Source organism: Homo sapiens, chromosome 17 (genome assembly GCF_000001405.40).
Source record: "Homo sapiens chromosome 17, GRCh38.p14 Primary Assembly".
Lineage (NCBI taxonomy): Eukaryota > Metazoa > Chordata > Mammalia > Primates > Hominidae > Homo > Homo sapiens.
In genome coordinates this window covers 81,839,976-81,861,093 of record NC_000017.11, presented here as the reverse complement: position 1 = coordinate 81,861,093, position 21,118 = coordinate 81,839,976, and the positions used below count along the sequence as shown (strand labels likewise).

The following is a 21,118-nucleotide window of genomic DNA, read 5'->3' as shown; positions in this document are numbered from 1 at the left end:
GTCACCCCAACTTCCGGTCCGGGGGCCGGGGGGCGTGCCAGTTGGGTACGCGGTCCAGTCAGAATGCAACACGAGGGGTTTCGGAAGCGCAGCCGCAGCTCCGCCCCTAAACTGGGAACTCCTCCCCACTGCCACGTTCGACGAAGGAACGCGCAGAGTGCGCGCATCCCTTGGCCAATCAGGAGGCGCAGAGTCCGTGCTACCGAAAGGGGCAGCCATTCCAGACCCGTGGAAGGTGCAGGCGAAAGCCACCAATTAGAAGCCAAGGCAGAAAAAGTTCTTGTCGGGAGCCAATGAGAGGCTAAGAAAGACAGCGAGCGCGAGGTCCTCGGCCAATCCCGAACGAAGGCCAGGGAGCACTCAGGAGCGTTTCCGAATCCGGGGCCAGGCCTGGTGTGAGTGTCCAATCCGAGAGCGGCAAAGACGAGCCTCGAAGTCCGCCGGCCAATCGAAGGCGGGCCCCAGCGGCGCGTGCGCGCCGCGGCCAGCGCGCGCGGGCGGGGGGGCAGGCGCGCCCCGGACCCAGGATTTATAAAGGCGAGGCCGGGACCGGCGCGCGCTCTCGTCGCCCCCGCTGTCCCGGCGGCGCCAACCGAAGCGCCCCGCCTGATCCGTGTCCGACATGCTGCGCCGCGCTCTGCTGTGCCTGGCCGTGGCCGCCCTGGTGCGCGCCGACGCCCCCGAGGAGGAGGACCACGTCCTGGTGCTGCGGAAAAGCAACTTCGCGGAGGCGCTGGCGGCCCACAAGTACCTGCTGGTGGAGTTCTGTGAGCGCCGGGCCTGGCGGGCGGGCGGGGCTCGGGGCCGCTGAGCCAGGCTCTTGGGACGCAGGCACGGCCCGGCAGCCCCCGGGGTCGGGACCCCCGGCGCGCCCGGAACTGAAGGGCTCCCTTGCTGCCCGCCTTGGGGGCCATGTCAGGGGCTCCCTGGGGGTGAGAGCCGGGCTGGGAGCCGGGGGGCCGTCCCGATGCCCGCCCTGCGCACGGCAGGATCTTCCTGTTAGTGCGAGAAGAACAGGATCGACCTGTGTGAGCAAACAGAGCAAGCCAGTGTCCAGCCTTGCCGAGTCCTCCCCGGGGGCCGACCCGGAAGGCGCCCCGCTCCTGCCCACCCCACCTTCAGCTTGCCACAGCAGTCCTTCCGATGGTGTCTCAGAGGAGAATCCCAAGCCTTCCTCACGTCCATAAGGATTTGAGCTCTGTCCCTGGGGTGGGAACCTTGTGCCTGACACAGCTGCTAACTCTATTGACAGATCGTCTTATTCTCACCCTAAGCAACTCAGGGTCTGTGTGCACGGATGTGCATCTCATACTCACAGCTAGTGCTGGTACAGGCCGCCACGGTCACTTCTTCACTTTTGTCTGTAGTCTTAAAGGGAAAGTCTAGGGGAGATCCTTGCCTTAGTTGCCTGTGGGGAATAAGAAGTCAGCAACCATTGAAAGGTTTGTCTGGCTGTGCTGATGGTGACATAGCAGAGTGGGGGCTGGTGTTGGTTGGTGGTAGTTTGTCGTTCACGGCCTCTGTCCTGATATTGCCCAAGAACACCAGGCTATCAGCTCAGCCTTGTGCGTTAGGAGGGGTTATCTTGGTGAGTAGATAAGGTTTTTATGAAGGGAAATGCCAGAGGAAAAAGGGAAGCACTGCTGAGGGATCAAGGCTGCTTTAGGGATCAAGGCTGCTTTCTAGCATCTCATTTCCGCTTCCAGATGCCCCTTGGTGTGGCCACTGCAAGGCTCTGGCCCCTGAGTATGCCAAAGCCGCTGGGAAGCTGAAGGCAGAAGGTTCCGAGATCAGGTTGGCCAAGGTGGACGCCACGGAGGAGTCTGACCTGGCCCAGCAGTACGGCGTGCGCGGCTATCCCACCATCAAGTTCTTCAGGAATGGAGACACGGCTTCCCCCAAGGAATATACAGGTGTGGCTGTGGCACTGCCCTTGAACTGTCTTTAGAGAGGGACTGGCCTGCCGACTTGGAAGGGCAGGGGCAGCTGTCTGAGCGGTGGGGAGGCCGGGTTCCAGAGGCTTGGAGGGATCCCGTTCCTCAGGCCGGGTTCTCTGTCCACTTGTGCCCTGAGGGTCTTGTGAGGAGTTTTCATCCTGGAAGAACCTTCGAATGGAGAACCTGTCTTGTCTGGTGCCATCCTGGGGGCGGCTGGCTGAGGTCTGTTTGGAGACTGACCAGCGAGGAGAGGGAGACTGGTGCCTTTCTGGCCACATGGGCTGTTTGTGCTGCCCCCTGTTCCTAGGAGCAGCAGCATGGCTGTAGCTCTCGGGGTGACACCTGCTAGCTGTCGTGTGTAGCGTGCCAGCTGCCGCGTCACGTGCTTGCGTGATTTCTCCTCGCATCCTCTCTGTGAGGCGGGCTTTTCCCAGACAAAGGGCTGAGGCTTAGAGCAGCTGAGTAACAGCATCGAGCCTGTCGGTAGCAGACCTCGAATCCAAGCCCGCCCTGCTCCGTCTGTAGCACGGGCCCTCAGCTGCTCGTCTGCCGCCTCTGAAGCTGCCGTAGTGGAGGCCGAGCCCCTGTGTAGCCAGATCAGTGACGGTGGCAAAAGAAAACTCGTCTATAAAACCGGTTCTGTGGCATGTCAGATGCTCATGGTGGGTAGCCCGAAAGCAGCTCATTCCAGTGTTAGCAGGGTTCTCCCCTTAAGCAGGTGTGCCCTGTCCTGTTCTAGTGGCAGCAACTCCGTGGTTGCCTCTCACTTGGCTGTTTTGATGTTTCCTTTTGTCCCCTTAAGCAGGTGTGCCCTGTCCTGTTCTAGTGGCAGCAGCTCTGTGGTTGCCTCTCACTTGGCTGTTTTGATGTTTCCTTTTTTTTTTTTTTTTTTTTTTTTTGAGACAGTCTCGCTCTGTCGTGCAGTGGTGCGATCTCTGCTCACTGCAACCTCTGCCTCCCGGGTACAAGTGATTCTCCTGCCTCAGCCTCTTGAGTAGCTGGGGCTACAGGTGTGCACCACCACGCCTGGCTAATTTTTGTATTTTTAGTAGAGACGGGGTTTCACCATGTTGGCCAGGATGGTCTCGATCGTGACCTCGTGATCCACCCGTCTCGGCCTCCTAGAGTGCTAGGATTACAGGCGTGATTGATGTTCTCATTTTTTACTCATGTTCACTTTTGGAACGGGAAGTGCTCTGTCCAAAGTCACCGTGGTTCTGTCACTAACACTCAGGTTTGCAGATGAGATGAGCACTCCTAAATCCACTTGTCACTGGTGACCGTCTTGTTAGCACTGGTGGAATCCTTCTACATCTGAATGGGGTTTTCCCGATTCGGACCAGGGAGTCAAGTTCTAGGAGGGAAAAAGGAGAGGCATCATTCCTTAGCCTCAGTCTCCCAGGAGGAGGAAGTTTCTTTCCTGTCAGTTGACCGCCTTTGGTGGCATAAAAGTGTGTCATCTTCTTCCTGGTCTGGGAGGCATGGAGGGTGGGCCATTGGCGAGAACTCCCGAAACGCCTGGGATAAGTTAGGAGGCGCGGGAGTCAGGTGGGCGGGGCGTCAGCCTGTTCCCAGAGGTAGAAAACTGGCACTGAGTTTTGAGTTACTGTCCACCTCTCTAAAATGAGGCCTGCTGTCAGACTCCTGGGTGAGAACATGTGTTTGATGGATGTACATGTCAAAGAAAATTTAGATAACGCAGAGGACAGGCTGGGTGCGGTGGCTCATGCCTGTAATCCCAGCACTTTGGGAGGCTGAGACGGGTGGATCACCTGAGGTCAGGAGTTCGAGGCCAGCATGGCCAATATGGTGAAACCCCCGTCTCTACTAAAAATACAAAAATTAGCCGGGCGTGGTGGTGCACGTCTGTAATCCCAGCTACTTGGGAGGCTGACACAGGAGAATCCCTTGAACCTGGGAGGTAAGGTTGCAGTGAGCTGAGATCGTGCCACCGCACTCCAGCCTGGGTGACAGAGTGAGACTTCGTTTCAAAAAATAAAATTTTTAAAATGCAGAGGGCCATCCTGGGCAACATGGTGAAACCCTGTCTACAAAAAATACAAAAATTAGCTAGGGCTGGGCACAGTGGTTCATCCCGGTAATCCCAGCACTTTGGAAGGCCGAGGTGGGCGGACTGCTTAATCCCAGGAGTTTGAGACCATCCTAGGCAACGTGGCAAAACCCCATCTCTACAAAAAATAGAAAAATTGGCCGGGCATGGTGGCTCACGCATGTAATCCCAGCACTTTGGGAGGCCGAGGCGGGCGGATCACGAGGTCAGGAGTTCAAGACCAGCCTGGCCAACACAGTGAAACCCCGTCTCTACTAAAAATACAAAAATTAGCTGGGCATGGTGGCGGGCGCCTGTAATACCAGCTATTTGGGAGGCCGAGGCAGGAGAATCACTTGAACCTGGGAGATGGAGGTTGCAGTGAGCCAGGATGGCGCCACTGCATTCTCCAGCCTGGACGACAGAGGTAGATTCCGTCTCAAAAAAAAAAAAAAAAAAGAAGAAACATTGCTGGGCGCAGTGGCTCACCTCTGTAATCCTAGCACTTTGGGAGACCGCTGAGGCAGGTGTATCACCTGAGGTCAGGAGTGAGACCAGCCTGGCCAACATGGGGAACCCTGTCTCTGCTAAACATACAAAAATTAGCCGGGTGTGGTGGCGGGCACCTATAATCCTAGCTACGCGGGAGGGTCAGGCAGGAGAATTGCTTGAACCCGGGAGGTGGAGGTTGCAGTGAGCCGAGATCACACTATTGCACTCCAGCCTGAGCAACAAGAGCAAAACTCCGCCTCAAAAAAAAAAAAAAAAAAAAGTTAGTTGGGTGTGGTGGCACATGCCTGTGGTCCCAGCTACTTGGGAGCCTGAGGTAGGAGGATTGCTTGAGCCCAGAAGTTCGAGGTTGCAGTGAGCCATGATCATGCCACTGCACTCTAACCTGGGTGACAGAGCAAGACCCTGTCTTCCAAGAAAAAAAAAAGGGCTGGGATTGGTGGCTCATGCCTGTAATCCCAGCACTTTGGGAAGTCGTGGTGGGCAAACTGCTTGAGCACAGGAGTTAAAGACCAGCCTGGGCAACGTGGCAAAACCCCGTCTCTACAATAAATACAAAAATGAGCTGGGTGTGGTAGCGTGCATCTGTACCCCAGATACTCAGGAGGCTGAGGTTGGGAAGATTGCTTGAGCCCAGTGGGTGGAGGCTGCAGTGAGCCAAGATTCTGCCACTACCCTCCAGCTGGGTAACAGAGTGAGCCCCTGTGTCAAAAGAAAAAAGAAAATGCAGAGAGATCAGAGAAAAAAAATGGGTTTGTGATCCTGTTATTCAGAGACAGAATCACCCTCTTCCCTCTCCACTCCCCATAAACACAACCACAGTCTCACGTACACTGGGGTTTAGGAGGCGGGCGGACGGCACCGGGCCTCTTCCATGGTGGGAGAACATCTTACTTAGGTTGATTCAGGTGTCCTCAGCCTGGCTGGCAGAGAGCAGAGACGGGAGCAGGCGCGGCAGGGCAGGCGGCACTCCCTGTTTGAGAGTAGAACCTACATTTGTTTGGGGTTAGCTGGCAGAGAGGCTGATGACATCGTGAACTGGCTGAAGAAGCGCACGGGCCCGGCTGCCACCACCCTGCCTGACGGCGCAGCTGCAGAGTCCTTGGTGGAGTCCAGCGAGGTGGCTGTCATCGGCTTCTTCAAGGTAGAGACCAGAGCATTCCAGTCTTCCTTCCTTCCGTCATCCATTGAGGAGGGGTCCACAGCCTGCAGCTGGCAGTTCTGCACGTGTCCCCCCTGGCCTGGGCTCTACAGGGTCTGCCCTACTGCTTGGTGCTGCGGGATCATGACGACCTCTGCTTCTCCCTCCTCATTCAGGACGTGGAGTCGGACTCTGCCAAGCAGTTTTTGCAGGCAGCAGAGGCCATCGATGACATACCATTTGGGATCACTTCCAACAGTGACGTGTTCTCCAAATACCAGCTCGACAAAGATGGGGTTGTCCTCTTTAAGAAGGTGAGTGGCCCCAGGCAGCTCTGCCCAGGTTAGTTCTGGGGTTGGTCTGCAGAGGGTGGCGTTGCTCTCCTTATCGTTAAGGGAACCTTGCTCCTGGCACCTTTGGCCCAATAGGTATGTTCTGCAGCTTTGCCAAGTTGGGGTGTTGCGCTGATGCCTGTGGCCTGGTCTTCGCATTCAGCTGTGGGCTTTCTGGCCACTCTCCTGCCACAGCCGCCTCAGAACTGCTTTTGACTGTTAGCTTTTTTTTTTTTTTCAATTATGATAAAACATGTAACAACATTTGCCCTTTTTTTTTTTTTGGGAGAGTCTTGCTCTGTCACCCATGCTGGAGTGCAGTTGCGTGATCTCGGCTCACTGCACCCTCCGCCTCCTGGGTTCAAGTGATTCTCCTGCCTCGGCCTCCCGAGTAGCTGGGACTACAGGCATGCACTACCATGCCCAGCTAATCTTTGTTTTAGTAGAGATGAGATTTCACCATTTTGGCCAGGATGGTATCAATCTCTTGACCTCGTGATCCACCCACCTCAGCCTCCCAAAGTGCTGGGATTACAGATGTGAGCCACCGCGCCTGGCCCCGTTTGCCTTTTTTTTTTTTGAGATAGGGTTTCTCACTCTGCCGCCCAGGCTGGAGTGCGGTGGTGCATTCTTAGCTCACTGCAACTTCTGCTTCCCAGGCTCAAGTGATCCTCTAACCTCAGCCTCCCGAGCAGCTGGAACTACAGGCGCGTGCCACCACGCTGGGCTGAGTTTTTGTATTTTTTGGTAGACATGGGGTTTTGCTGTGTTGTCCAGGCTGGTCTTGAACTCCTGAGCTCCGAGTGGTCTGCCTGCCTCAGCCTCCCAAAATGGTGGGATCACAGGCGTGAGCCACCGCGCCCGGCCACGTTTTAACTATTCTAAAGTATTAACTACATTCAGAGCGTCCTGCAGCATCCCTATTTCCAGAACGTTTTCCTTACCCAGAGGTCTGGAGTATTGGCGCTCTGGGCGTGTTCCCACCCAGGTGGCACCCACACTTCGTATGCCCCTCAGCCCCAAGGGCATTATGACCCCTAAGGATCCACTGTGAAAACTGCCATCCTGATCCCGCTGTCCTTCTCCTGGGGAAGGGCTCCTGGACAGTGTGGCCTCTTAGCCGCCTCTCCCCGTTACCAGGACACAGCAGGGTCCTTGTTTGCACAGTGTCAAGATGGGGCCTGTGGGTTTCTATTGTCTCTTTTCTCGGTCACCAGGCAGGTGGGGCTGGGGCCGCACACTTGTGCTCTAGGGACAGCTGAACCTGGATGTGGGTGATGGTGGGTTTGTGCCGCTCAGAGCCAGGGTAGTGTGGATAGGAGAGAAAGTCTCGGGAGAGGAGGGACCTGGGGAGTGAGGGGCAGGAGGGCGGCCGGGGGCGATCGGACCTTCAGCTCCTGTCCTGTGTCGTTTCCAGAGGGGAGAAGAACCTTTTAGACAGCAGCATCATAAGCCAAACGGTCAGACGGGCAGCCTCTGGGATTGGGGCTGAGTGGTTTTGGACACAAGGAACCCATTCACTTTCTTTTTTTTTTTCTTTTTCTTTTTTTGAGACAGAGTCTGTCTCTGTCGCCCAGGCTGGAGTGCAGTGGCGCGATCTCAGCTCACTGCAAGCTCCGCCTCACGGGTTCACGCCATTCTCCTGCCTCAGCCTCCCGAGTAGCTGGGACTACAGGGCACCCGCCACCACACCCAGCTAATTTTTTTGTATTTTTAGTAGAGACGGGGTTTCACCGTGTTAGCCAGGGTGGTCTCGAACTCCTGACTTCATGATCCGCCTGCCTTGGCCTCCCAAAGTGCTGGGATTACAGGTGTGAGCCACCGACCCATTCACTTTCTGTAGTAAGCACGGAGCATCCAGCACTCCCCGGGACCAGGTAGGAGGGAGGGTAGAGCCAGCTTCCTGGAGCGCGGTGGTGCGGGTGGGTCAGGATGGCTTGCTTCCATGTTCTTGTTCTTGTCATTTAGCTGTTTTTGCAGCCACTTCCTCAAGATAACTCAAGACAGTAGATGCTCTTTACCAGGAGACATTCTCTTGATGTCCCCTGAAGGGAAGAGAGTTGCTAAATTAGTCTATTGCCATTGCAAGGTGCCCAGGAAATTAAACCTCTGACTAGAAAAAGCCAGTGAAGTGTTGGATAAAGTTGAAGGAACCAAAGGTCTTTTTAGAGCTTTTATTAAAGAGAAAGTTCCAAGTCTTGTCCTGAAACTTGGGTTCTGGGGCAGACTTTCTCCAGAGCCCACGAAACTCGCGAACCCTGTGTTGTCACACAGCCCACAGCTCCTTCAGTGCCCTGGATGTCTGCAGTGGCCGCTGTGACTCTATGGACAGTTTGGTGATATGTGTCCGCGAAGGCTGGGAGGGTGGTTTCGTTGCTCTTGCCTGCAAAGGCTCACACGTGGCCATCCATGTGGGCTCCCCACAGGTTAACGTTCTGTCTCCATTCTCTGGAGTCCACTAGAGCTGGGCACAGACAAACCCACTTGGGTTTGATGCCAGTTGGTGGGTGGCGCTTTCCTGCCCACTGAAGGTGGCTCAGGTGTCTGTGATGGCGAACGTGGTCGTTGCAGGCAGCTCCGGGCAGAAGCCCGGCCCCCTGTCCGGTGCACGTGGTAGGGGCTGCCCTGGAAGTCAGAGCTCACCCCGCAGCTGAGAGGATGAGTCCAACTTGTTCCTTTTCCACCAGGCTGTTAACCCCCATCCCTCAAAGTGAGTGAGGCCTTCCTGTGTGTGCAGTGGCCACAGTGGGCAGCCTGGCTGAGTCGGGTGCTCTTGTGTGGCCCGCTCTTGCCTGCTCTTCCCTTCCTTCCCTAGCAGGCACTGCAACCCAGGAAAACCTCTGCGGGGGCTGCTGGTCACTGGCACCATGGGTGTGAGAGCTTCTGATATTTCACTTTTTCTTCTCCCCCAGCTGGCAGCACTGGGCCTGTTATTGTTGTTTGAGAAAGGGTCTCGCTCTGTTACCAGGCTGGAGTGCGGTGGCACAATCACACTTCACTGCAGCTTCGACCTCCTGGGCTCAAGCAGTCCTCCCACCCCAGCCTGCTGAGTAGCTGGGACCACAGGTGTGCACCACCGCACCTGGCTATTTTTTAATACTTCTGTGGAAATGGGGTTTCACCGTGTTGCCCAGGCTGGTCTCGAACTTCTGAGCTCAAGCAATCCTCCTGCCTCAGCCTGCCAAAACATTGGGGTTACAGGCGTGAGCCATACCACCCGGCCTGCATTGGGCGTTTCTATGCTGTTTGTCACCGTGGCCTGGCAGGGCTGGCCTCCTGCTGCTGTGCCCTGCTAAGTGGACCAGTTTCCCTTACCGCAGTAGACCGTGATTGAGTGTGGTGTAGCATCTCTGCTGAAACGATGGCAGCCCTGGGACAGCTGCGGCAGTGTCTCCTCCTGGCTTCTTGGCATGAGATGGTGTAGGCGGCGCCTGACACTCTGGAGGGAGTCAGAGACATTGTTCTGCAGGGGTGGGGGGATTTCGTTTGCCTGCAGTTGCGGCCCGGCGTTACTCCTGGGCACAGTGCGAGCCCACCCGTGCCACTGGGAGCACGGCTGTGATCAGCAGCTCATGTTCCAAAGGATTCCCTCCAAGGGCCTCCTGAACTTGGCTTTTCTGCCTCTCCTTACCCGCCTTTGCCCCTCTGGGGAAGAGGTAGCAGGCTTAGAAGCCTCTGCCCCTCGGGTTCGGGCAGGGTGGTTGGTGCTTGTGCCCTGGTTTAACATCAGCTCCTTGGCAGTCAGGCCAGGCCAGGGTGGCCCAGGCACAGCGTGCACAAGAGCAGGGAGTGGCACCTGGTCTCTAAGTTACTCTGCAGACGCATACATGGAAACGGCCAGTAAGAAAGGATGCGTGATTTATTTCCCCAAGTCTCATTTAAGAAGTTTGAGGAGGCCGGGTGCAGGGGCTCATGCCTGTAATCCCAGCACTTTGGGAGGCTGAGGTGGGCGGGTCACGAGGTCAGGAGATCGAGACCATCCTGGCTAACACGGTGAAACCCCGTCTCTACTAAAAATACAAAAAATTAGCCGGGCGTGGTGGCGGGCACCTGTAGTCCCAGCTACTCAGGAGGCTGAGGCAGGAGAATGGCGTGAACTCAGGAGGCGGAGCTTGCAGTGAGCCGAGAAGCACCACTGCACTCCAGCGTAGGCGACAGAGCAAGACTCTGTCTCAAAAAAAAAAAAGGTTCAAGGGGACCAGGCTTGGTGGCTCACACCTGTGATCCCAGCACTTAGGGAGGCCAGGACAAGAGGATTGCTTGAGGCCAGGAGTCTGAGACCAGCCTGGGCAACATAGTAAGACTGTCTCTACAAAAAGTAAAAATAAAATAAATTTTTTTGGCTGGACACGCTGGCTCACGCCTGTAATCTCAGCACTTTGGGAGGCCAAGGCGGGCAGATCACCTGAAGTCAGGAGCTTGAGACCAGCCTGACCAACATGGAGAAACCCCATCTCTAATAAAAATACAAAATTTGCCAGGCGTGTTGGCACATGCCTATAATCCCAGCTACTTGCGAGGCTGAGGCAGGAGAATTACTTGAACCCAAGAGGCGGAGATTGCAATGAGGCAAGATCGAGATCGTGCCATTGCACTCTAGCCAGGGAAACAAGAGCAAAACTCAGTCTCAAAATAGATAAAATAAAATAAAATAAATTAAATAAATAAGTATTTTAAAAAGTAGTTCTGTCCAGGTGCAGTGGCTCACACCTGTAATTCCAGCACTTTGGGAGGCCGAAGCAGGCCGATCACCTGAGGTCGGGAGTTCAAGACCAGCCTGACCAACATGGAGAAAGAAACTCCATCTCTACTAAAAAAACAAAATTAGCCAGGCGTGGTGGCGCGTACCTGTAATCCCAGCTACTTGGGAGGCAGAGGCAGGAGAATTGCTTTAACCCGGGAGGCAGAGGTTGCAGTGAGCCAAGATCCTGCCACTGCACTCTAGCCTGGGCAACAAGAGTGAAACTCCGTCTCAAAAAAAAAATAAAATAGTTTGGGCCGGGCTCAGTGGCTCACACTTATAATCCCAGCACTTTAGGAGGCCGAGGCAAGTGGATCACCTGGGGTCAGGAGTTCAAGACCAGCCTGGCCAACATGGTAAAACCCTGTCTCTACTAAAAATACAAAAATTAGCCAGGCGTGGTGGCGGGTGCCTGTGATCCCAGCTACTCGGGAGGCTGAGGAAAGAGAATTGCTGGAACTCGGGAGGTGGAGGTTGCAGTGAGCCGAGATCATGCCATTGCACTCCAGCCTGGGTGACAATAGCAAAACTCCGTCTCAAAAAATAAAAAAATAAATAAATTTTAAAAATAAATAAAAAAGTAGTTCGGGGGAATGATGGAAGGCTCACCCAAAATTCTCACTTGAAGAGCCTCAGCACAGGGGCGCCTCTCTGAGCCTGAGCCGAGGCCGCATCCTCAGCTGCAGGCTGACCCCTCGTGGTTGGGGCGCCACAGCCTCTCCATCTTGTGGCCTTAGGACTCCCTGAAGCTGCCGTGCATTATTAGGGGTCCCCAGGGCCTTACAGGCACGTGGATTGCGCCTTTCAGGATCTGTTGTATTAGAAACTAGAACTAAGAATGTAAAAAATCGTTTTTTTCTCTCTATTTATTTTTATTTTTTATTTTTTGAGATGAAGTCTTGCTCTGTTGCCAGGCTCGAATGCAGTGGCACGATCTGGGCTCACTGCAACCTCCGCCTCCTGGGTTCAAGCGATTCTCCTGCCTCAGCCTCCCAAGTAGTTGGGATTACAGGCACCCGCCACCACGCCCAGCTAATTTTTGTATTTCTAGTAAAGACGACGTTTTACCATGTTGGATTAGGCTGCTCTGAAACTCCTGGCTTCAGGTGATCCGCCCGCCTCAGCCTCCCAAAGTACTAGGATTACAGGCGTGAGCCACCACGCCTGGCCTGTTTCACTCGTCACCCAGGCTGGAGTGCAGTGGTGCGATCTCACTGCAATGTCTACCTCCCAGACTCAAGCAATCCTCCTGCCTCAGCCTCCCAAGTAGCTGGGATTACAGGCAGGTGCCACCATACCCAACTGATTTTTGTATTTTTGTATTTTTTTTTTTTTTTGAGACAGAGTCTTGCTCTGTTGCCCAGGCTGGAGTGCAGTGGCACGATCTTGGCTCACTGCAACCTCTGCCTCCCGGGTTCAAGTGTTTCTTCTGCCTCAGTCTCCCGAGCAGCTGGGATTACAGGTGTGCACCACCACACCCAGCTAAATTTTTGTATTTTTGGTAGAGTCGAGGTTTCACCATGTTGGCCAGGCTGGTCCCAAACTCGTGAACTCAAGTGATCCACCTGCCTCAGCCTCCCAAACTGCTAGGATTACAGGTGTGAGCCACTGCACCTGGCCTTTTTTTTTTTTTTTTTTTTTTTTTTGAGACAGAGTTTCGCTCTTGTCGCCCAGGCTGGAGTGCAGTGGTGCGATCTCGGCTCACCGCAACCTCCGCCTCCCGGGTCCAAGCGATTCTCCTGCCTCAGCCTCCCAAGTACCTGGGATTACAGGTGCCCGCCACCACGCCCAGCTTATTTTTGTATTTTTAGTAGAGATGGGGTTTTACCGTGTTGGCCAGGCTGGTCTCGAACTCCTGGTCTCAAGCGATCCACCCATCTTGGCCTCCCAAAGTGCTGGGCTTACAGGCCTGAGCCACTGTAGCCAAATTTATTTTAAAAGAATAATAATCCCATTACATGTTATCATAAATCACATCTTTACGGAAACTAGTTTGTCCCAGACAAAAACAATTTAGTGCTGAGTGATGTTTTAGATTCCTCCAGCAGGATTCTCCTCTCCTGCCCTCCTGCTCTTGCGACACCATGCGCCCAGCAGCCTCTGTGGGTCTGTGCCGCAGCACGTGAGAGGGAGAGTGAAAAGGCAGAGGCCAGAGAAGTGTGAGTGTGAAAATAGCTTTGACCAGCCGGGCGCGGTGGCTCACGCCTATAATCCCAGCACTTTGGGAGGCCGAGGCGGGCAGATCACGAGGTAAGGAGATTGAGACCATCCTGGCTAACGTGGTGAAACCCATCTCTACTAAAAATACCAAAAATTAGCCGGTGGTGGCGGGCGCCTATAGTCCCAGCTACTTGGGAGGCTGAGGCAGGAGAATGGCTTGAATCCGGGAGGCGGAGCTTGCAGTGAGTGGAGATCACGCCACTGCACTCCAGCCTGGGAGACACAGCAAGACTCCATCACAAAAAAAAAAAAAAAAAGATCAAGACCTTCGTGGCCAACATGGTAATACCCCATCTCGACTAAAAATACAAAAAAAAATTAGCCAGGCATGGTGGCAGGCGCCTGTAGTCCTAGCTACTCGGGAGGCTAAGGCAGGAAAATCACTTGAACCTGGGAGGCAGAGGTTGCAGTGAGCCAAGATCATGCCACTGCACTCCAGCCTGGGCAACAGAGCGAGACTGTCTCAAAAACAAATAAAAAAGAAAATAGCTTTGACCACATGGGTGCCCTGAAAAGGCTAGGGGCCCTGGGGATGGGCCACACTTCAAGGTTGCTGGAGGACCACGTGCGCCAGGCTTGCATTGTGGATGTGAAGCCAGCTGTTGAATTCACGGGCAGCCATAAGGCCGTGACCAGAGCCAGTCTTACTGTCGAGGAACAGCCATGTCCTGTACCCATTGCTGGACCTGTGGCTCGAAACCCCACGGGAGGGCAGGGCTGCTGGCTGCTGTGACTTCCCACGTCCAGGGAGACCCGGGCCCAGGGGCTGTGCTCCCAGCAGCAATGCTCAGTCAGGGCCCTCTTTCTGTCCACAGTTTGATGAAGGCCGGAACAACTTTGAAGGGGAGGTCACCAAGGAGAACCTGCTGGACTTTATCAAACACAACCAGCTGCCCCTTGTCATCGAGTTCACCGAGCAGGTGCGGCTGCCCTGCAGCCCCCAGGCTGGGGATGGGGAGGAGTGGGTTGGGGGTGGCATGAGGCTCCCGGTCACCACTGCTGTCCAGCGTCTGACATTGGAGGCCATTGGGAGAATCTTCTGCATTAATAGTGTGTGACTCAGACCCAGTAACTTAAGTTTATAACACAGACAGCCCCGAAGATTTTTGGAGGTGAAATCAAGACTCACATCCTGCTGTTCTTGCCCAAGAGTGTGTCTGACTATGACGGCAAACTGAGCAACTTCAAAACAGCAGCCGAGAGCTTCAAGGGCAAGGTGAGCTGCTCTTCTGGGTGGCTCGTGGGGCGGTGCCAGGGAGCAGTACAACTCTTCCCGAGGTGACAAGTGTGGGGCCTTCCTGAGGCTGCCTGCTGGACTGGATCGGGCACCTGATTCAGGACAGCCTGGATGTAGGCGAGGGGCCAGCCAGGCCAGACCTCTGCTCCCAGTCACCTGCTGGTCTGGTTGGGCAACCCCGGAATCCAGGTTGGAGGAAAAAGGCACCGGAGCACGGTCTGCTTCCGAGCAAAGTCAGGGCTGGAGGCAGAGGCCAGCCGTCTCCCGCACCTGTGCAACCTCCTTTTCTCCCCCAGATCCTGTTCATCTTCATCGACAGCGACCACACCGACAACCAGCGCATCCTCGAGTTCTTTGGCCTGAAGAAGGAAGAGTGCCCGGCCGTGCGCCTCATCACCCTGGAGGAGGAGATGACCAAGTACAAGCCCGAATCGGAGGAGCTGACGGCAGAGAGGATCACAGAGTTCTGCCACCGCTTCCTGGAGGGCAAAATCAAGGTGCAGGCGCGTCCCCGGGCCAGGGCTGCCTCCCGGGTAGAGCCGCCACCTTGGGGTCTCTGGGCTCTCAGTGTCCTGGGCTTCGTCCTCAAAGTAAGATCTTCAGAGTAAGAGGACGGAGCCCAAGATGGTGTGAAGACCACCATTCTTGTCACACCTTTGGGGACCTGTAGGAGCCCTCTTGTCCACACGGCTGGCCCAGATGCTCCTCAGGGAAACCTCCTGGCCGGCGAGGGTGCGGCCTGCGTGGGCTCATTGGGCCCAGCCCACTGGCCCAGCCTTCTCTTTCTGGATTCTTGGCACTGTTGGTGTCTGCGGCTGCCACCCTGGTGTGCCCAGGGCAGCCACGCACCTCAGTCCCGGGCAGGGTGAGGGTTGGGGAGCTCTGTGGTCCCCCAGGCATCGCCGCCCCTCACCGTGCCCTGCCTGCCCTCCAGCCCCACCTGATGAGCCAGGAGCTGCCGGAGGACTGGGACAAGCAGCCTGTCAAGGTGCTTGTTGGGAAGAACTTTGAAGACGTGGCTTTTGATGAGAAAAAAAACGTCTTTGTGGAGTTCTGTAAGTGTTGCCCTTTCAGCTCCCCAGGTCCGTGCCACCAGGGCACGCGCAAGGTAGGCAGACTCCTGGGGAAGCGTCTGCCAGTGGCTTTGTGTCCAGGACACACCCTAGAACTGCTTTCTTTTCAGATGCCCCATGGTGTGGTCACTGCAAACAGTTGGCTCCCATTTGGGATAAACTGGGAGAGACGTACAAGGACCATGAGAACATCGTCATCGCCAAGATGGACTCGACTGCCAACGAGGTGGAGGCCGTCAAAGTGCACAGCTTCCCCACACTCAAGTTCTTTCCTGCCAGTGCCGACAGGACGGTGCGCCTTCCCTCCAGACGGGGCTGGGGCGGGCTCTGGGAAGAGCAGTGGTCCCCACGCCAGCCTGGGTGCCTCTCTGGAAGGAGCCTGGGGCTAGTCAGGTGGGAGAAGAGCTGTGGGAGCTCCTTCAGAAGCACCCACCTTTGTTTTTCGAGAGAGATGGGATCTCACTATATTGCCTAGGCTGTTTTTGAACTCCCAATGTGCTGGATTCCGGGTGTGAGCCACCGGACCGGGCCTGCTCTGCCTTTCTCTAGGGAGGAGGAGCCAATGCCAGGAGATTGGCTCTGGGCCGGGACCAGCCCCTGCACTCATCCCTGTCTTCCACAGGTCATTGATTACAACGGGGAACGCACGCTGGATGGTTTTAAGAAATTCCTGGAGAGCGGTGGCCAGGATGGGGCAGGGGATGATGACGTGAGTGGGGTCACAGCCCTGGGCTGGTCTCTGGGATTCAGCCCCTTGGCCCCACGGGACATGCCCACTTGGGCTCGGCTTGTGATGGGAATGGTGCCATTGGAGGCACGTCTGTGCGTCCAGGGCTCTGGGGCCCCACACCTTCGCCCAGCAGGGCAAGGGATGTGCTCCCAGTGCTCTGCTGAAACAGCTCTCCCTGGCCAGCACTTCTTTAGGGGACGACGTTGAAGGCATCTTTAAAAACCAGATTTTGCTTAGAAAACCTTTTCAGACACATGGCACCGGTTCCTCACATGCTGCTAACTTGGACTCAGAGGTCCATCCCCAGCCCGCTGGCGGGGCCCGGGCACAAGGGCGCAGACATGGGTCTGCCCTCGGGAGTTTAGTCCTGCCCGTCAGCGCGTGGCCAGCAGCAGTGGTGACTCTGCCGGGGAAGCAGGAAGGCTGGTGTTGGGAGGATGCGGCAGGGGCGGGGTGCTTGACCATGGTGAAGGAGATGAGGGCATGGTCAGCCCAGGCTGGCAGGGCCTGCTGGGAGTGCTGGTGCACAGTGGGAGGTGGGAATACTCTGCCCAGGCTGGGGATGGAGGGCCGGCCCCTGGTGCTGCCTGTGGCCTGTCATTGGCCAGAGCCCAAGGGTTGGAAGTAGAATGGTCACACCCCAGTGGTGACTGTGCCTGGACTTCATGCTGGGGCTGTTGTCCCTGCCGAGATGTGGACCCTCTGTAGACTCCATGGTGCCAAGCTGGGAGACACACATACGCCTTCCATGCCCAGTGGAAGGGTCCAAGGCTGAGCTGGGATTCCCAGGGTTCCTGACACAGTGGGGGCTCTGATTCATCCTGCTATAGGCAGAAATCCCCCAGGCGTCACTCTTCCTGGGAAGACCCCTGTGTAGCTCGTAAAGACCAGGGTTGGCTGCTCCAGTGGCCGGTGGCCATGTCCGCCGTGGCCGGCTAGTCCCCGGTGTGAGCAGTGTGGGGTGCTGGGGGCCGGCAGCCTCAGCTGTTGCAGCCAACCTGCCCGCCCCGCCCCTTTTCCTGTATCCCAGGATCTCGAGGACCTGGAAGAAGCAGAGGAGCCAGACATGGAGGAAGACGATGATCAGAAAGCTGTGAAAGATGAACTGTAATACGCAAAGCCAGACCCGGGCGCTGCCGAGACCCCTCGGGGGCTGCACACCCAGCAGCAGCGCACGCCTCCGAAGCCTGCGGCCTCGCTTGAAGGAGGGCGTCGCCGGAAACCCAGGGAACCTCTCTGAAGTGACACCTCACCCCTACACACCGTCCGTTCACCCCCGTCTCTTCCTTCTGCTTTTCGGTTTTTGGAAAGGGATCCATCTCCAGGCAGCCCACCCTGGTGGGGCTTGTTTCCTGAAACCATGATGTACTTTTTCATACATGAGTCTGTCCAGAGTGCTTGCTACCGTGTTCGGAGTCTCGCTGCCTCCCTCCCGCGGGAGGTTTCTCCTCTTTTTGAAAATTCCGTCTGTGGGATTTTTAGACATTTTTCGACATCAGGGTATTTGTTCCACCTTGGCCAGGCCTCCTCGGAGAAGCTTGTCCCCCGTGTGGGAGGGACGGAGCCGGACTGGACATGGTCACTCAGTACCGCCTGCAGTGTCGCCATGACTGATCATGGCTCTTGCATTTTTGGGTAAATGGAGACTTCCGGATCCTGTCAGGGTGTCCCCCATGCCTGGAAGAGGAGCTGGTGGCTGCCAGCCCTGGGGCCCGGCACAGGCCTGGGCCTTCCCCTTCCCTCAAGCCAGGGCTCCTCCTCCTGTCGTGGGCTCATTGTGACCACTGGCCTCTCTACAGCACGGCCTGTGGCCTGTTCAAGGCAGAACCACGACCCTTGACTCCCGGGTGGGGAGGTGGCCAAGGATGCTGGAGCTGAATCAGACGCTGACAGTTCTTCAGGCATTTCTATTTCACAATCGAATTGAACACATTGGCCAAATAAAGTTGAAATTTTACCACCTGTCCTTGCCTCGGGTTTATGATCTCACCAAGCCCGGAGAGCTGGGCTGGAATGCGGACGCCAAGGCCATCTGCCAGGCCTTAGTGGGGTTACTGGTGCTGAGAGGCCTCGCCCCTGGGACGAGGTGCAGATGCAGAAACAGGCCCCAGTCTCCCCAGCAGAGCTGTGCAGGCTTGCGATTCCCGGGGAGGATGCCTTCCCTGCCTGTAGGCTGCTTTACCTGGACTCTGATGGGGCTTCTGTGATTCTGGACCCTGGATGTGGACACGGGTGGAGCCACCCAGCCCCATGTGATGCTCAGACTCCTGGTCATTCCCTCCCATCCCCGCCGTGGAGTGACGAGAAATCAGGTGGACTCAGGCTTCAAGGATGGGTGAGAGGAACAGGGGGCCCTGCTTATCACTAACCCTTCACACGATAAAGGGCAGGGCTGGGCGCAGGGACGCGCGCCTGGAATCCCAGTGCTGGGGCAACACGGGGAGACCCCGTCTCTAGGAAAAATTAGAAATTAGCTGGGCATGGTTTGCACCTACAGTCCCAGCTACTCGGGAGGCTGAGGCAGGAGGATCACTTGATCCCAGGAGGTCAACACTGCAGTGAGCGGAGATCGCGCCACTGCACTCCAGCTGGGTGACAGAGCTGTCTCTAAAAATAAGGATCTCCTGGTCTTTAAGTTGTAATTTGGCTTAACCTCAGCACTCCTGTGCTTCACATGCAGAAAAAACACATACACTCGATTTTTTTTGAGACGGAGTCTTGCTCTGTGGCCCAGGCTGGAGTGCAATGGTGCTGTCTTGGCTCACTGCAACCTCCGCCTCCCGGGTTCAAGTGATTCTCCTGCCTGAGCCTCCTGAGTAGCTGGGATTACAGACATCCGCCACCACGCCCGGCTAATTTTTTGTACTTTTAGTAGAGATGGGGTTTCACTGTGTTAGCCAGGATCTGCTGGCTGACCTCGTGATTTGCCCGCGTCGGCCTCCCAAAGTGCTGGGATTATAGGCGTGAGCCACCGCGCCCGGCTGAAAGTCAATTTTTCTGCAGACGGCAAGCCGCGGCCTGTGTGCAGGGCTGGGCGATGGCTCTGCTGAGCCTGGATTTGCTGCTTTTCTGCAGGGGAGGCAACAGGAGCTCTGTGGTGTCTGTGGGTCCCCCTGAGGGCAACGGCAGAGGCCCTGAGGATCCAGCAGGGCTCATGGTGGTCTCAGAGGGCGGTGAGGCAGGAGGAAGGAGCCCAAGGGTGCAGGTGGCAGGTGGGAGTGGGGGTGGAGCTGCAGCTCTAGGGAGGCTGCTCGGCCCTCAGAAGTTCGGATGGAACAAACGACCCTCACCAGGCTGCCTTGAGGAGCCCTGCCTGTGACTCTGTGAGCCCCGCCAACTTCACATCCTGATGTGCTTCCTAGAGTAGGAGCTTCCGCACTGCCGAGATTCCCGGGTGTCCTCCCAGTTCCCGAGCTTGCGGGCTGGCTGCAGCTGCTGGAGCCAGAGACGGCTCTCAAGCCAGACCAGGCCTCGCCGGGGGTGCGGTTCTCCCGTTCTCCCCGCTACCTCCCTTGCCGGCCCCACAGGCCCTCACAAACTCGGCCGCTCCGGCTCCTCCTGCCTCTGCTCCAGGCTGTGGAGTATCCGGCCAGCATGCCGCGAGGACCTGTGTCAACACGTCGCCAGCACCAGCCAGCCCGGTTTGCCCACATGTCCTTGGCCCCACACGGCTCACACCAGCTCGGCAGTCTGGGTGCTGCCGTCTGCCCCGGCCCCCAGCTCTGTGGGTCTTGGAGACAGCCCGTGCTGGGGCTGGTTTCTGGCTAGTTCAGCTCCAGGGCCTCAGCAGGGTTTGTGTGCCATGCCTGGGTCCTGCGACACAGTGAGCCGCGTACTCACGGAAAAGTGGGCAACGGCATCTGGAGGTGCCGTGGGAGGATGTGGGCAGAGGCCCGAGGGCTGTGGCTCCTTGCAGGGTCTCTGAGGGAGGCTGTCCTGAGTCACAGCTAAAGGGGTGGGCTGTATTTGTGCCTGTGCTCCCTGGCCGTGGGATGGGGTGCAGTGACCCTGTGGACCAGCTGTGCGGGGAGCCGGCCCTCTGGAGAGAACGTTGGGACATGGCACAGCTGCCCGCAGCACTGGTGTCATGTGCTCTGGAAAGGGGAGGGAGTCACTGATACCTTTCCCGTTTTGCAGAGGCAGCTGATGAGCACATTCCTGGGCTCGGCTGTGGCTGGGAGGTGGTGGGGCAGTGTCCAAAACCTCTCTGACTGGGCTGCTGGATTAGTGGGGAGACTTTGAAGGCTCTGGGAGGAGGTGGTTAGGGCTTAGCAGCCTGGGACTTCCCAACCCTCTGTCTCTCCAGGTGCCAGGAAGCCACCGGCCTGGAGCCTAAAACAGTGATTGCTGGGTCTATGTACCACACCCCGGGGGGCCTCTGACCTCAGGGAGGGAAGGGCCCTTCTGGCCCTAGGCTGGCCCTCCTGCCAGACTGCAGTGCGACCTGCGCTGACTTTTCCTTTTTTTTTTTTGAGACATAGTCTCACTCTGTTGCCCAGGCTGGAGTCAGCGCTGCGATCTCAGCTCCCTGCAACCTCTGCCTCCTGGGCTCAGGTGATTCTCCTGCCTCAGCCTCCTGAGTAGCTGCGATTACAAGCATGCACCACCATGCCCGGCTAATCTTTGTATTTTCAGTAGAGATGGGGTTTCACCATGTTGGCCAGGCTGGTCTCGAACTCCTGATCTCGGGTGATCCACCCACCTTGGCCTCCCAGAGTACTGGGATTACAGGCGTGAGCCACTGCGCCTGGCCTCAGCTGACTTTACTAACAGGGTCTCCCGGGTGCTTTTGCAGAGCACTGCTGGTTGCATTCACTGGACATTTTTTTTTTTTTGAGACAGGGTCTTGCTCTGTTGCCCAGGCTGGGGTGCAGTGGTGTGACTGTAGCTCACTGCAGCCTCAAACTCCTGGGCTCAAGCAATCTTTTGCACCTCAGCATTCTAAGTAGCTGGGACCATAGGCACCCAGTACCATGCCTGGCTAATTTTTAAATTTTTTGAAGGGAAGGGGGTCTCCCTATGTTGCCCAGGCTGGTCTTCAACTCCTGGCTTCAAGTGATCCTTCTACCTTGGCCTCCCAAAGTGCTGGGATTACAGGCGTGAGCTTCTGAGCCCAGCCAGGCCTCACTGGACTTCTAAAAGTTGGA

At 56.5% G+C, this 21,118-nt stretch overlaps 1 protein-coding gene across 1 annotated transcript, besides 3 other annotated features; it reads left to right on the top strand.

Moving 5' to 3' along the window:
- Nucleotides 439-658: a silencer, noted in NCBI's record as "silent region_9154". NCBI's record gives its function as "represses an Ori minimal core promoter by ATAC-STARR-seq in GM12878 lymphoblastoid cells {active_cell/tissue: GM12878}" and the evidence as "EXISTENCE:reporter gene assay evidence [ECO:0000049][PMID:35858748]".
- P4HB (prolyl 4-hydroxylase subunit beta) lies at nt 559-17,928 on the top strand. The gene is made up of 11 exons (NM_000918.4): nt 559-767; nt 1,707-1,913; nt 5,508-5,641; nt 5,815-5,952; nt 13,747-13,851; nt 14,022-14,147; nt 14,465-14,665; nt 15,103-15,223; nt 15,352-15,533; nt 15,864-15,950; nt 17,002-17,928. Exons 1-11 carry the CDS (start codon nt 623-625, stop codon nt 17,080-17,082), a joined length of 1,527 nt encoding a protein of 508 aa, NP_000909.2. The 5' UTR covers nt 559-622; the 3' UTR covers nt 17,083-17,928.
- Nucleotides 869-968: a silencer, noted in NCBI's record as "silent region_9153". NCBI's record gives its function as "represses an Ori minimal core promoter by ATAC-STARR-seq in GM12878 lymphoblastoid cells {active_cell/tissue: GM12878}" and the evidence as "EXISTENCE:reporter gene assay evidence [ECO:0000049][PMID:35858748]".
- Nucleotides 5,118-5,617: an enhancer, noted in NCBI's record as "H3K4me1 hESC enhancer chr17:79813353-79813852 (GRCh37/hg19 assembly coordinates)". NCBI's record gives its function as "activates a minimal SCP1, AML or CMV promoter by ChIP-STARR-seq in primed H9 embryonic stem cells {active_cell/tissue: H9 hESC(primed)}" and the evidence as "EXISTENCE:reporter gene assay evidence [ECO:0000049][PMID:30033119]".

Bases quoted from the DNA above. Each gene is read 5' to 3' on its own strand.
- P4HB (NM_000918.4), top strand. From the start codon at position 623: ATGCTGCGCCGCGCTCTGCTGTGCCTGGCCGTGGCCGCCCTGGTGCGC. The intron at 5,953-13,746 runs GTGAGTGGCCCC...TTCTGTCCACAG, and splicing joins GGGTTGTCCTCTTTAAGAAG to TTTGATGAAGGCCGGAACAA. The intron at 15,951-17,001 runs GTGAGTGGGGTC...CCTGTATCCCAG, and splicing joins ATGGGGCAGGGGATGATGAC to GATCTCGAGGACCTGGAAGA.